The 14,678-nt window shown below is 36.4% G+C and overlaps 1 protein-coding gene across 2 annotated transcripts in view; it reads left to right on the plus strand.

The window, feature by feature from the left end:
- Positions 1-14,678, plus strand: part of PLCB1 (phospholipase C beta 1) — a 752,635-nt gene that overhangs the window by 524,513 nt on the left and 213,444 nt on the right. For both annotated transcript variants that reach the window (NM_182734.3, NM_015192.4), the window contains exons 8-9: positions 406-506; positions 1,760-1,926. In NM_182734.3, the coding sequence (NP_877398.1) occupies positions 406-506; positions 1,760-1,926 (268 nt within the window). The remainder of the gene's footprint in view (positions 1-405; positions 507-1,759; positions 1,927-14,678) is intronic.

Genomic DNA, 14,678 nt, shown 5'->3' on the forward strand with positions numbered 1-14,678 from the left:
GATTCAAGTAGGAAAAAAAAAAAAACCTAAAAATAATTCTGTCAAACAGACTATCTTTCCTAGATCTAACTTGCTTTAGAAAATGTATATAGGAAATTGCATTAACATCCCTTTAGCAGGAGACAATTCTTAAACTTAAATTAAACTGAAAAAGCCACAGAAAAAAGGGTTTGACACCCTAAAGCCAGTGTCCAAATGAACGCTACGGTTGACCTCATAGGTGTGTTATGAATGTTTACCCTGACCTCCTAGAAGAAAAGGAAAAAGAAAGGAAAGAGAGAGGGAGAAGGTGAGGGAAGGGGGGAAGAAAAGAAAGGAGAGAAAAGAAGACAGAGAAAAAACAGGGAGGGAGGAAGCTGGGGAAGGAAAAAGACCATTTGCTGACTCCGTTGTTTTATTTCCCAGAATGATTCAATACCTCAAGAAGATTTCACTCCAGAAGTGTACAGAGTTTTCCTCAACAACCTTTGCCCTCGACCTGAAATTGATAACATCTTTTCAGAATTGTAAGAGTACACATTTTAAGCCATATCTTTTTCAGCTTGCATTGATTCTCAGGTGGCTAGAGCAGGACTTGGAGTGGTAATTGGAGATGGAAGAACATCATACACTGTGTCTAAAAGCAATATTCCTGTGTGATGTTTTGGATAGGATCACACAATCTTGCCCCTGAGGTGCAACCACTGCTTTTAATGAGTACAAGTTTGCTGTGATATATTGCTGGAGGTAGTTGTTTTTGTATGCTCAGATAACTTTGTATGGTTGAAGGATTATGGGTAGAACAGGGAGTCATCTTGGCTTAGCAGAAATAGACTCATGTCGCAGGAAGAACTCTGGATTGGGAACCAGTTATTTTATCTCTCTGAGCCACATTAGCGACATGAGAAGTTTGGATTACTAAGAACCCTCTCAGCTGAAGAATTATTTGCTTTTCTGTTAGAAATTATAAACTTATATCAAGGCATTACCTTTTTTTGAAAGATTAGAAGAAAAAAGGAAAAAAAAGAAAGAAACCAAAGCACTAAGGCAAATGTGGGGAAAGTAGCAGTTTACCTTTCTTAAAATACTGAAATCCACATGACAGAAAATCAATACAAAATGTGGTAAACAAAATAAGGATTTCTTCAAATGGAAGACAGGTAAACAGTACTGCTGAAAATGACATTGCATATTCTTGCTTTGTGCTGTTCATTGCCATCATATATTTACTGAACATCTGCAACATTTGTACCACTGAATTTGTCTTTAGATGGTCAATACAATTGAAATGGGAAGTTTGAACAATATGTTGAGGAATTATACTCTCTTGTTGAAGCCTAACTGTAACTTTTAAAAACACTCAAACGGGTTGTTTACTTTAAGTAATGACAATAAATACATCTTTAAATGATTACAGATATATGGAGTTGGATGATTAAATCAAAAATTTACTGTCATAATAAAAAAACCTCTGTGTTCGGTTTAGAGTGGTGCACCCTTATGCACATGATGCAGTGTTTTCCCACTGTGGGTTTTCTTACCCATTTGGTATTTTGCAAGAGCATTGGGTTTTAGCGGTAGCAATTGCACAAGATATTTGTAGCCCATAGAGGTATAGAAATTATGGTGGAGAAGCACAGTGTTTTCAGGGCAAGATAGGAGTTTCAATATAGCATTTTCTTATCAAGTATAAGATTTTATTTCCCTAGAGTTAAATGCAAATATTAGAATGAAACTTAGTTTAAAAAATTCTTATTGCTTGGTTTTTCATTGTTTTTAGTGGTGCAAAAAGCAAACCATATCTTACCGTTGATCAGATGATGGATTTTATCAACCTTAAGCAGCGAGATCCTCGGCTTAATGAAATACTTTATCCACCTCTAAAACAAGAGCAAGTCCAAGTATTGATTGAGAAGTATGAACCCAACAACAGCCTCGCCAGAAAAGGTCAGTACTTTCTTTCACACCAAAGGGAAGCTCTTGTTTCTGATTGGGGGTAGTCACACGCTGGGAGTTAGGAACACCAGTGATCGTTAGGTTAGTTTCCTCTGTTTACAAGGCATTCCTTTCGGTCTGAAATCACTTGGTGGTTCAGTGCACTAGGTTTTTCTTTAAACTTTGGTGTGTGATTTTTTTGTCATTGTTGTTATATGTATAGATGCATGTAACATATTTTTAAAATGTCTAATCCTTTATTTTGTTTCAAATTCACGCAGTGACTGAATGCATATTTCATACAGGAAATCACTATCTTTAGGTTACCCTTTTGTCTTTTTCTAGTAAGTTCTGTGAAGTGGCCCACAAGTTTTTCTAACGTTCTAAAACTGAAGGGAATATTTAGTCTGTGAGACCCTTATCTTTTTCCAGTATATACTATCTGATAAATACTATCTGATAAATTTTTCTACTTGGGGAAATAGTCTAAAATTTGGCTGTCTGTGTAAAAAAGCCTAGTGTTGTAAATACAAAACAATCCAAAAATTGATAGCCCAAAGACAGCTCTAAGTTACCTGGAAGTTTTTAAGAAATTTATATTTTTGATTCTGGGAAAATGAATTGCCAAAATAAGATCATGAAGATGTAATTACTGCAAATTTTCAACTATATGTGGCAGCACTGTCCCTGAACAAGATCTTCCACTGAGAAGACTAACTCTCATCTGGATTGAAATATCTTCACCAAGAAAATTAGTGTGTTATCACTGATGTTATTGCAGATTGCCTAGATATTCCATAGGGAGGAAAATAAAGTACAATTAACCAATTATTGAAAAGAAATCAATTATATATTAATATGCAGGCATTTTCTAAAGTAACAGAAATAGCTCTAGCAAGCTTATGGTCATCAATAAGAATGATTATCATAAAAGTAAATTTAAAAGTCTTTTAATCCATTGTGTTTAATCTGGAACTGGTCCTCTAAATTGAAAATGAAATCATGAAGTATAAATGGGCCCAGGCACTGTGGCTCACGTCTGTAATCCCAACACTTTGGGAGGCCAAGGCGGGTGGATCACTTTAGGTCAGGAGTTCAAGATCAGCCTGGCCAACATGGCGAAATCCTGTCTCTATTAAAAATACAAAAATTAGTCTGGCATGATGGCGCATGCCTGTAGTCCCGGCTACTCAAAAGACTGAGGTAGGAGAATTGCTTTAACCCAGGAGGCAGAGGTTGCAGTGAGCCGAGATTACACCACTGCCCTCCAGCCTGGGTGACAGAGGAAGACTCTGTCTCAAAAAAAAAAAAAAAAAGAAGAAGAAGAAGTATAAATGTAAAATCTAAAAATCTATTAATCATATTCTACATGCTACTAGTTGGGAATTTTTAGATGCAATTTTTTAGTTTTCATTTGTTTTCTTGGTGAAGAACTTTGCCTTTGTTGTTGTTATCATTTTCACTGATGCTGTGAAGGTGAGATTAGTTAAAGGAAACAACTAGCCCAACAGTATGTCTTGGCATGGCCAGGCCTGCCCCTCCAAACCTACTTAAATAGGTTGCCCTTCCTTCCCTAGTACACAAGAGATGAGATTTCCCCTTATCATGAAGCAGGGAACATCTTGGAGGTTTTGCCCATGTAGCTTAGGAGTTCTCTTCTAAAATCCAAACTTCTCCAAAAATAACGAACACATTGTTATAACAAATCCAACAACACTTCTAAAAATCAGTTAGCCCACGACACTAGGAAAACAAAAAGCTTTTCTGAAACCAGTGAAGCACTCCAAAGTGTAAGCCTTTTCCTTTTCTCCTTCCTTCACACCACACTGCTGATGGCACAGGCTTCAGCTGGTATCCAATGCCTCCATACATCATCCTCTGATGACTTGCACGATGTAGAGGGTACAAAGAGAAAAAATTGTGATAGATTACTGTAAAACCCCATAATCCTAGAAAAACTGATTTTGATTCTAATGGAAATTAAGATGATGTCTCCTAGCATTTGCAAAATTATTTAGTGCCATTTTATGAATTTCAAATCGAAAGAGGCACACAAAATATTTAAAAATTTAAATATTTTTAAAGGCAACTTTATCTGTTTTTCTATACCTTAATATGACATTGATCACAAAACCTCTGTGTCAACCTTAATAGCAGTATAAAGAAGCAACATAGAATAATGGTTCCACTTTTGAGTTTCAAAGCTGAGATCCACCTCACTAGTTTCATAGCCTTATGCTTAACTTCTCTATGCCTTAATTATTTCATCTTCAAAATTAAGGACAGAAGAATTCTTGATACGCTTTTCATAGATTTGAATTAAATAATACCTGCAAAGCATTTGGAAAGAAGAATCTGGGCCTGTGTAATGTGATAAATAAGTGTTAACTCTTCTCAATGTTTTGAAGTGTAGTATGTTGGTTTTCATTCCTCAGGTGTCGTTGTCCATTTTTTCTAGGAGATCCCATGATTTCTGGGCCTTAAACTTTCTTCTGTTTTCCCCAGCACCTAGAAGATGCACCTGCTCATGATGAAATCCTTAATGTAGACTTGTAGTTGTGATCTAATCAGTGACCCAAAGCATTTGTGCCCCAACTTATCACTTAAGAATATTGCCTAGTGGTCTCTGTACAGAAAAATTTTGGCTAATGCTGTCTCTACCTAAAGCCTTATCTAGCACGTGGGAAGGACAGAGGCTTTGGAGTCCAACGGCTAGAATATGGCTAAAGGGCCAGCCACCTGCTACCGTATAACGTGCATCCTCAGTCACCCCAGGGGACTCCAGCACCCGTTCAGAAGTTCTGGCTGGCTGTATTTGTAGCTCCTTCTTCTCTAGAATCCATATGAAAGAAATTCAACTCTTGAGGAGTTAAAAGTCAAATTACAAAGACCTTAGTAGGGTCACTTCAGCTTTAAGGCATGTACACAAAAACGGACTCATGATAGCTGCCTTGTTTTAGGATAAAGGGAGATTGTGCCTGTTTATGTTTAGTTCAGCGCACACTAGTCATTCAGTAAATGGCCTAAATTGTTATTAACACTGTTTAAAGCAGGCCAAATAGTACTAGAGGAAGCACACAGTCTCTGGTGTTCTAGTCTTACAAACTCAAACTTACAAGCCAACCTACGTTAAGTAATTCATAACTTCAGTATTTAATAAATCTTCAGTGAAAGGCAAGAGGCTACACACAGTGACAGACCCAGAGATAAACCCTGTGCCCCTAGAGATTTGCACTCCTCTTAAAAGTGTATATATATATAATTATATAATTATTTATTATATAATTATATATAATTATATAATTATTTATTATATAATTATATATAATATACAATTATTTATTATATAATTATATATAATTATATATTTATTATATTTATTATACAGTTATATAATAAATAATTATATAATTATATATAATTATATATTATTTATTATCTAATTCTATATTAAATATAATTATTTATTATCTAATTCTATATTATATATAATTATTTATTATATAATTCTATATTATATATAATTATTATATAATTCTATATATAATTATTTATTATATAATTCTATACATAAGTATTTATTATATAATTATGTATATAATTATTTATTATATAATTATGTATAATATGTAATTATTTATTATATAATTATGTATAATATGTAATTATTTATTATATAATTATGTATAATATATAATTATTTATTATATAATTATGTATAATATATAATTATTTATTATATAATTATGTGTTATGTATAATTATTATATAATTATGTATAATATATATATAATTTTTTATTATATAATTATGTATAATATATAATTTTTTATAATTATGTGTAATATATAATTATTTATCATATAATTACAATATATATTATTAACATAATATCTAAATATATTAATAATCTAATATCTATAATTAATATAATATATAAATATTACTTCTTGAAATCCAACGTGCACCTGAATCACCTGAGCCGTTGTTAAAATGCAGATTCGAGATCCTGCATTTCTAACAAGTTACTGGGTGAGGCAGAAGATGCTTAGCAAAGGCCCACACCGAGTAGCAAAGCTCTAAGAAGTAAAGAGAAGGCGCATTAAGCATGAAGATAATGAGATTTCTTCCTGTAGGGGACAGTTCATGGAAGAGATAACATTTGGGCTGAATTGATTTTAACACAGATGAGCTACAGACTTTAAAACTTTAAACTTTTAGTCAAGTAGTTAATACATTTGGATCAATAAACACATAAGAAAATAAGTAGGGAAGTTTAGTATTACATTATAATTTATTCTTCTGCTGCTTTCATTTTAACTGTTTTCAGATGTGCCCAGGTGTTAGTTAAATTGGTGTTGATCTCAGTGCTGATGTGGAAATTGAGTCTTATTTACCTGAGAAAGGCACTTCCATATAGCCTATACTTGTTATAAAATGCTAAGCATAAGATACACACATAATATACATAATAGAATATAAACATATATATAACATATATATACACACAACATAGATATACACACAACATATAGTTGTGTGTGTATACACATACACAGAGACACACACACAGTCTCTGATATCAATAAACATATCTTAAAGTAGGTGTTAAGCAAATAAATAATATACAAACCTGACATATGCTGTTTAGCTTTTATGTACATTTTACATAATTTTTACATAAAAGATAGACTTGAAATTAAATGAAAAATTTTTAGTGTCACCAAAAGCCCAAATGCCAAAGCCGACCATAGTTTAGCTGACTAAAAGTGTGACACATGGAAGTATGAAATGAAACTCCAGAAGAGACAATAGACTTTGATCTTCTGAGGACCTGCTGTAATTAGCATGTCAGCCACATCTCCATGCTGGAATTTCTGTTTTGGGAGATGTGTATATTGGTTATAAATAATCAGAGGATTTCTGTGCAGTCTAAGGCCAAATGGGTCATGTATGTGGGTTCCAGAAAGAGAGAATTTGAAGCTTGTCACAGAGGATACTATTCTCCTGGGAGTGTGGTTTATTTTTACTATTTAAAAATTACACATTGAAAAATGCCATGGCCTCTGGTCAGCAAAAGTTTTTTCCTTTCCATCTTGTTTGCACTGTAGACTTAAATATTCCTGGCACAGGAATATGCAATGACCCCTGCCTCTTCCAAACAAAATGTTCATGAATATCGTACTTTCAAGATCAGTGTCTCCAAAACAGTTATTTTTTATCACTTAAACTCTTCAGATGAAAGACAGTGAGTAAAATTAGCATGAAAAATAGAATAGCTCTATAGGTACCTTTGGTAACAGAATGCAGACTTCAACTGATATATCTATAAATGAAGTCCAAATTTTACTTAAATAAACTGCCAAACCAAAAGAAAGCAGTAATTTTTTTCATGCTTTTATTCTGTGGAGATCAGGTGTTCATGAGTGTTTGTTAAATAATTGAATTAATGTAGCAGATTATAATAGCAGATGTTTCAAACTACATTCCTTTTATCATCAGTTCTTCCTCCTAAATTTTTATAAGGTATACTATACAAAAGCGTCCCCACTTTGTTGTAATTAAGTCATAAAAATGAAGCTCTATAATCCCTTTTAGTGATCACTACTCGCTGAGTTAATAGTTTAATAGTTGAAATGAACTCAAGATTATAATGGCGAAGCAATTTGGTTTTAGGCAAAGTTCAGATACAGCAAGTGCTTTAGCTTTTTTTCCTTTAAATAGACCTAAGCCAATAATGATTGTATCAGTAGGAAAAAAAAACCCTATTGCATTTTCAATATAGTTTTATTTAAAGTATTATACAATTAAGCTATATTCTCTCACTGTCAACACCAAGAAATAGGCTGAGAGTGATAGAAAGAGACTGGACTTGGGAAACTTGAAAACTGTAGTTTTAGTTGAGACTCCTTCAGTTGAAAAACGGCAGAAACTTAACTCAAACTAAAGCACTGAATAAATTTGCTTGTGCATATAAGCAAAAAGTCAAGGTGTTAATGGTTTCAGGCATGACTATATCCAGGAGCTCAAGTCATGTTATCGATAATTGTCTTTTTTCATCTCTCATCATTTTCTCATACTGGCTCTAGTTCTTGGGCAGATTTTCCTGAATGATAAGACAGCCACCAGCAGCGCCAAGCCTATAGCTCACCAGTCCTAGTATACAGAAATCCTTTTTACTCATGGTTCCTGTGAAAGTCCCAGAATCCAGGGCATGGCTTCGGTCACTCAAGGCCACTTCTAAATTAGAATCACAGTGTCCTGAAGGATGGGATAAAAATAAATGGACAGGCTTAAGTCATATGACTCCCCCTAGAGCCCATAAGGGGTCAACTACCTAAAGCACAAACCACACGGACCGACAATTGGAGAGAGATGGTTCCCTAAAATTCAACCAGGATGTGCTTCCTAAAGGAAGGAATAGTGGTCTCTTGGCAAATGAAAAGAGTAGATCACACTAAAACTAGTTCAGAAATCATTCATTCATTATGACTTTTTATTTGGCCTTATAAAGCCATTTAACTTCTTTGACTAGCCCTGCTCCCTAGTTTTCTCAACTTTGAAATTATTTCCTGACAGAATTACTGGAAGAATTAAATAAGATGCTTTTGTTAAAGAGGTTACATATATTTATTGTTGTTGGCTAAATTGTCATTTACCTGAACTAATGAAAAGTGATCATTGGCATTTATGCCAAATTATTTTAAAACATTTATGAGTCTAGAAGTGAGACTCAGAGCCTTGGGCTGAGGCATTCCTGAACATTGCTGTTTCTCATCTAACAGCCTTATTTAATGTACTGCAATTAAGGATAAGTATAATAATTTATTAATGAAACTTGAAAAAAATATGGCATGTCACATCTGTGCACAAATGGTCCTTTCTGACTCAATCATTCTTTTCTATACCTTTTTATTAAAATGGAATTATAATTATAGTCATAAGTGTAAGGATGTACACTTGACTCTTACTATTTACTTCATTATCACTTCAATTTCCTAGTAAATTTTTTGAATCATATTTTTCCAGCACCATTTCGCTTTACTAGGTAGAAGTTATAAAAACTAATGATGGTGATGATTATAATCTCTATTCTCCATCCTTGAAAGATCAAACATGCCCTAATTAAAGAAATAGGCTGGCATAGTGTCATGATGAAGCCAGTAAACCTCAGGCAAGAGACTTGACTTGTGTGAGCTTCAGGTTCTTCATCTGTAAAATGGGATGAGACCAGCAATGTAGCAGACACCTGTGCTATTCCCATGTCCCTTGGCAATCATGGTTCCAACCCAGCCACCTACACACTTGGCAACTCTTCAGGGCCTTCTATCAGTCCATCCACAGCCAGGCTACAATTCCCAGGGACTGCATGCCTCAGGAGTAGTTGAAGAATAAATACCTTATCTTCCATGCCCCTTGGGTTGCAAAGTTCTGATGTGTGTTCTCTGCTTTCTCCCAGAGTTCCTCGGTGAGACTGAGCCCTAACTGCCCACAGCTGTAACCTGCCTGATACCCTTCTCCTTCTTAGCTGCCTTTCCTTCTTGTCTCACTTCTCTTCTCTACTGTTGTTTCATAGGGTCAACTCCCAAAAAAGGTGCTTGCACTCAAATCCTTGTCTCAGATCCTGTTTTTGGAAGAACCCAAACTAAGACAAGCACTTTTCTATAAATGGCCTTAAGGGAATCAAAAGTGAAAGATGGGTAAGGTCAGAGTTGCTGAGCATTGAGAGAAAAAAAAATGGAAAGAGGCTGTGCCTCATCATTCCTGCCAACCTATCACGTTATTGTCTTCGTTGTTTCCAATCACGAAGCCCTGGCCAGTGGCCTCCAATCATAGATTTCCAGTCTACAAAGGACTTAGCCATTTAGCTTAGTCAAACTGTCAGTTTATTAGAAGAGGCAGTTTGCAGAAATGGCAATGTTGGGACCAAGACCATGTTTTCTTTGTCCCGCTACTCCAGACATCCACCTAGGCACTCCAACAGGACTTGCTTAGAAAAAAGTTGCAACACAGACCATTTAGAAGTTAGTGATCGATGTCTATAGCAGTGGTTTCCAAGCTGGTCCTAGACATAGCACCCTTTGTTTGTTTCTTCTAACAAAGTCTCGTGAGAAAGGCCAATGTGTAGGGAAAAGCTTTAAAGGTGCTGTCTTGGTGGAATAGAGGGGAGCCTGGAGTACAGGTGATGGTGGCTGTTGCCCTATCACTCTTTCTCCTCCTGACCTACCCCATTCTCTGCAGGGATGTCTGCCCAAACCCAGGGATATTCAGGATACTCAGTTTAAAAACCACTCCTCTGAAGGAAATACTGACTAGTTTAAAGATCTGCCTCACAATTAAGGTGGCATCCATTTAAGTCATTTTATATAGATTACCTACAAAGTAGTTGAGGAAACAGAACCGACGTGAATCAACAAAGTCAACACAAATAAGATCAATTTTCTCCCAAAAGACAAAAACAGAGGAAAACTATATGATGTAGCCAATGCTTTCATGCCTTAATTAAGTTACTACACTGAAAAAGCTGCTGAAAAGCTACTCTAGGATTTTATTGATCGAAATCTCATTTAAATTCCTCCTATTGACTCTCTAACCTCTGCGGAAGGTTACAGAAAAATGGCATTGTCGTCCCTGAGTGCATTCCAAGTTCTTCTTAACTTCATGTTTGGTATGTTCATAGACTTCTCTGAAATATTTCAGATTGCCTAAGAATGAAAAAAAAATTTTTCAAGATCGTCATTGTGGATCTATTGTTCATTGGTTGACTTGGCAACTCCCTTTGCTTTCCTTTCCGTTATTACATTTCCTTTATTCCCAGAAGGCAGGGCCTGGGCCTGAGGAAAGGCAAAGGCCTGGCCTAGGAATTCTGTTTCTTTTCTCCTTTATTTCAGTGACCTCAGTGTCTGCTCAGGCCCACAGCTCTGGCCAGAAAGTCACAGCCCTGTCTACTCACAGCTGAAATGTCCTTTGTTCAGAAAATAACCAGACAGGAAAAATATAAACAGTAAAAGGCAAAATCAAATGCCAGTCCACAGGATAGATAAGTGAGCTTGGTAGCCTCATCAACCCCATAGTCTGCTGAGTCTTGTTAAAACTTCTTTCCTTCATCACACCTTTCAGAGGTGCCTTGCCATTTCATGGGAGAGCTATTGGGACAGAGCAGAGAATGGCTTCTTTCCCCCTAGATGTGACCTCCCAGCAGAACACAGCATTGACAATTGTTGGCTAGTATAGCTTTCCCCTTGTCAGCAGGGTCTAGGAGCAGGTTGCAGTGCGTGTGGGGTGGGGTGGAGGGGACTCTGGCTCAGTCAAAACTGCCTGGCAGGTTGTACTGTGTTGGGAGGGAGAGAGGCCACAGGCGTTTGGCTCCTAACTTCGGCATTATCCAGGGTCTTGTCAATAGTCAATGTGATACAACAGATAAGTGGGAGGGAAATAGGTCGAATGCAGAAAAAAAAAAAGCAAACCACAGGGAAACCAGATTAAGTGAGGGATGGACCTTCCACCCTAACCCTTAATAGAAAAGCTGAAAAATGTACCATAGTAGGGAATCCTGCCAGGAAGTGGACAGTGACCAAGGATTTCAAAAATCTCTTATGGAGATTCTGGAAGGTCTGTCTTAACTCTGAATCACTACAGTCTCTAGGATGCCAGCTGTGACAGCAAAGATTATCTCCAAGCTAGGGATAGCATTATTTTAACAGGAGAGTTAATTGAGAATGATGGACAAAATCAAGCTTCTTACCTAAGCATTCTACCTTATATGTAGAAAATGAGCCCAAAAAATGCTTCTGAACAATGTGGCTATATGTCTTTGTTGAGGGTTTTCCCAGAAGCCAACTTTGAAAGAAGATTCAAGTCCATAGAGTTTGGAAGGTGATTCCAGGAAGTACTAGTAGGGCAGTAGGGAGTGTGAACGAGGAAGAGAAAGCAGCTTACAAAAAAATGTGTTGTCAAGGCAGTCATTCCCAACCACAGCCATTGTTGGAGGATGCTCTTAGAAAGTGTTAATTCTTAGGCCTTTCCAGCCTGCACCACATAAAGTCAGCCATCAGGCAGAGATGCAGATACAAGTCCAGCCCAGCTGTATCTCCTGGAGCACCAGTACAGTCTGCTATGATATTATTACCAGCAAAACACTATTCACGATACTATAAAAAGGATATTCCCACCTCACTTTGCAGCTTTAACAAGAATCTCCAGCATATCAAAAAAGAGATCCTTCAAAGTACCTGATGCTTATTGAACGCATTTCTTTATTCTAACATATACCTAATGCAGTTGCGTGGACACTTTAACAATCATGTATTACCCATCTAACTTATGAACTGCTAGAAAGGGGAACAAAATCCAGATAAGATATTTGCTCTCAAGGAGCCTATAATTACAAGGAGAAAATTCTAATATCACAAATAATTATAAAACAAGTTATAATGTGATTCACTTCCATTTCTTCATCTAGCTAATATTCATTCATTCGTAAATATACTTCCATTCATTCATCTAGCAAATATCTATTGAATAACTATGTGCGAGGGAAGCTTGAAGGAAAAGGAAAGTTTTGTTTATTGACATTGTGGGGAGTTTCCGGAATTGCTCTAAGCTCTTTACCTGCAAATTGCCATGGTACATTTTTCAGCTTTTCTATTTCTTGTACAAAACCTCAGACAAGTCTTCAAGTGCATATTATTATTCCCATTTTACAATGAGGAAAGCGAGTCTTTGGATGGTCCAGACATTTGACTTGTTATACTGTTTGGGAATGAGTTGAGAGGTAAGTCTAAAAATGTAACATTTGTGACCTGAATGGAAGCCTTCATGCTATTCTTGACTTACTCGTTGGTTTATTTACTCAGCACACAGTTTTTTGAGTCTTGCTACCTGTGTCAACCCTTGAGTAAGACAATGAAAAGGCACCATTCTTCACCTATCTGGGCTCTCAATGTAGTAGAACCTCCTCTGTAGTCAGTACAGTGGGGAAGGATGTGCTGAAGGCATCTGAAGAGGAAACTGGCATTCCATGCTGTGCTTTATGCTGCAGAGCAGAGGGCCAAATGAGAGACAAGAGGCACTTAGGGCACTAAAAGATAACATGTTTTAAGTAGCTCATCAGAAAGCATTAATGAGAACATAATTATGTTCTGGGTCTGCATTTATGCTAGACTATGGAAGAGATGTAAATAAAGTGAAGGCCATGGTCCTTGCTCATACAACGCCAATGTCCAATTTGATCAAGGAACATAACATTCTGGTGAAGGAGCTAGAACATTTTTCCTCCCTTGCATTACGGTCAGGAACCACTGTGGAGGGTCTCCTCTCATAAAGCACTGTGACAGTGTACTCATAAAAGGCAATGGAATTGGTTTCCTACCCTCTGAGAACCTCTAATTTTAAATGATAAATCAGTACTTATACAAATCCATGTTCCAAACACAGCTCTAAAGCTGTACTTAAGAGAGACAGGTTCTAATCTGGATTCTGTTCTTATCTTTCTATGTCATTTTAAAGGGGCTATTTAATCTCTCTTGGGACAACTTTGCTTATCTGTCATGTTAAATAATAAAACTGTCTTCTGCCTACCAAATAGAATGATGAGGAGTAAATAAACTCACAGATGTGAGAATACTTTGAAAAACGGAAAGTGCTAAATCAAAGTAAGGTGTTATTATTGAGAATTTTCACACAAAACCACATCAAATAGTACAACTTAATACAGGGAAACTGCAAGCACACAGAAAGCTGTGAGCACTGCGTGAAGAGCTAATCTGCAGGAGCTTTTGAGAAGAGTACATAGCCATTTAGGGGCCATTATCACACCATATCTTGGAGCTGTATTTGCACATAGTTATGGTAATAGCACAGTTTTTGCAATCAAGATGGAATAACAATATATGACACTTTTCAACTTAAGATAAAATAATAACACATGAAAACAGGTGCAGAACATACTGACTCCAGATTTAGGGGAAAAATGGTAAAATAATGAAAGAAGCCAGTGAAGTTCATGTAATGTACAAAAGCACAGTTAGCTGGCCAGTGTGATAGGAAAGTTTGTGCCCGGGCAAAGATAACTGAGAAGGGAACATTTAGATTATTTCTTAAAATAGGCAAATAGACTTTGGTGAGCCATGGGATATTAATGCCATCTGCACTTACTTTCTCTGAGCTGATCTAGCAGAATTCGCAAGGGCCAAAGCACCAGGAAAAAACGTGAGCCGAGAAATTGCTTTTCAGTGCTGTGCTTAGAAGTGATTTAAGGAGGTGCTAAACCACTGGGCTGGTAGCTTTCCAGTATGCTCTGGTATTATTGCATTAAGAGTGAAGATTGAGCAATGATGAATGGATTCTCAACCACCTAATCCCAGTGACATCCAAACATCTGAGTGCCAGATCCTGCCTAATTGGCATTTGGCACAGTAGAAGGAGGCTGGTGTCCATGCAAGCTGGCAGACACATTGTCCAGTTTTCCCATCTTGACTGTGATTATTCTACGTGGATTTATGGGCCATCTGTCTTCCAAGGCAAAATTTGTAGATTTTTCTGTGCTGCAGAGCTCTGAAGATGTTATTTGCATGTGTTTAGCTGTTTTTATTTTTTAAAGCTAACCTGCATATTTTTTGCAAAGCCCACAAAACAATGTCACTTCTTGTGTTCAGCATTTCTCTTGTCCTCATGTTGGCATGACAAGTTTTCTGTTATATTTCATTTTTCTTCCTAAAAATCAGATTCATGGGTTGAGGGATAAAAATGCTAGAGGACATCTT

This window comes from Homo sapiens, chromosome 20 (assembly GCF_000001405.40).
Source record: "Homo sapiens chromosome 20, GRCh38.p14 Primary Assembly".
NCBI classification, from domain to species: Eukaryota; Metazoa; Chordata; class Mammalia; order Primates; family Hominidae; genus Homo; species Homo sapiens.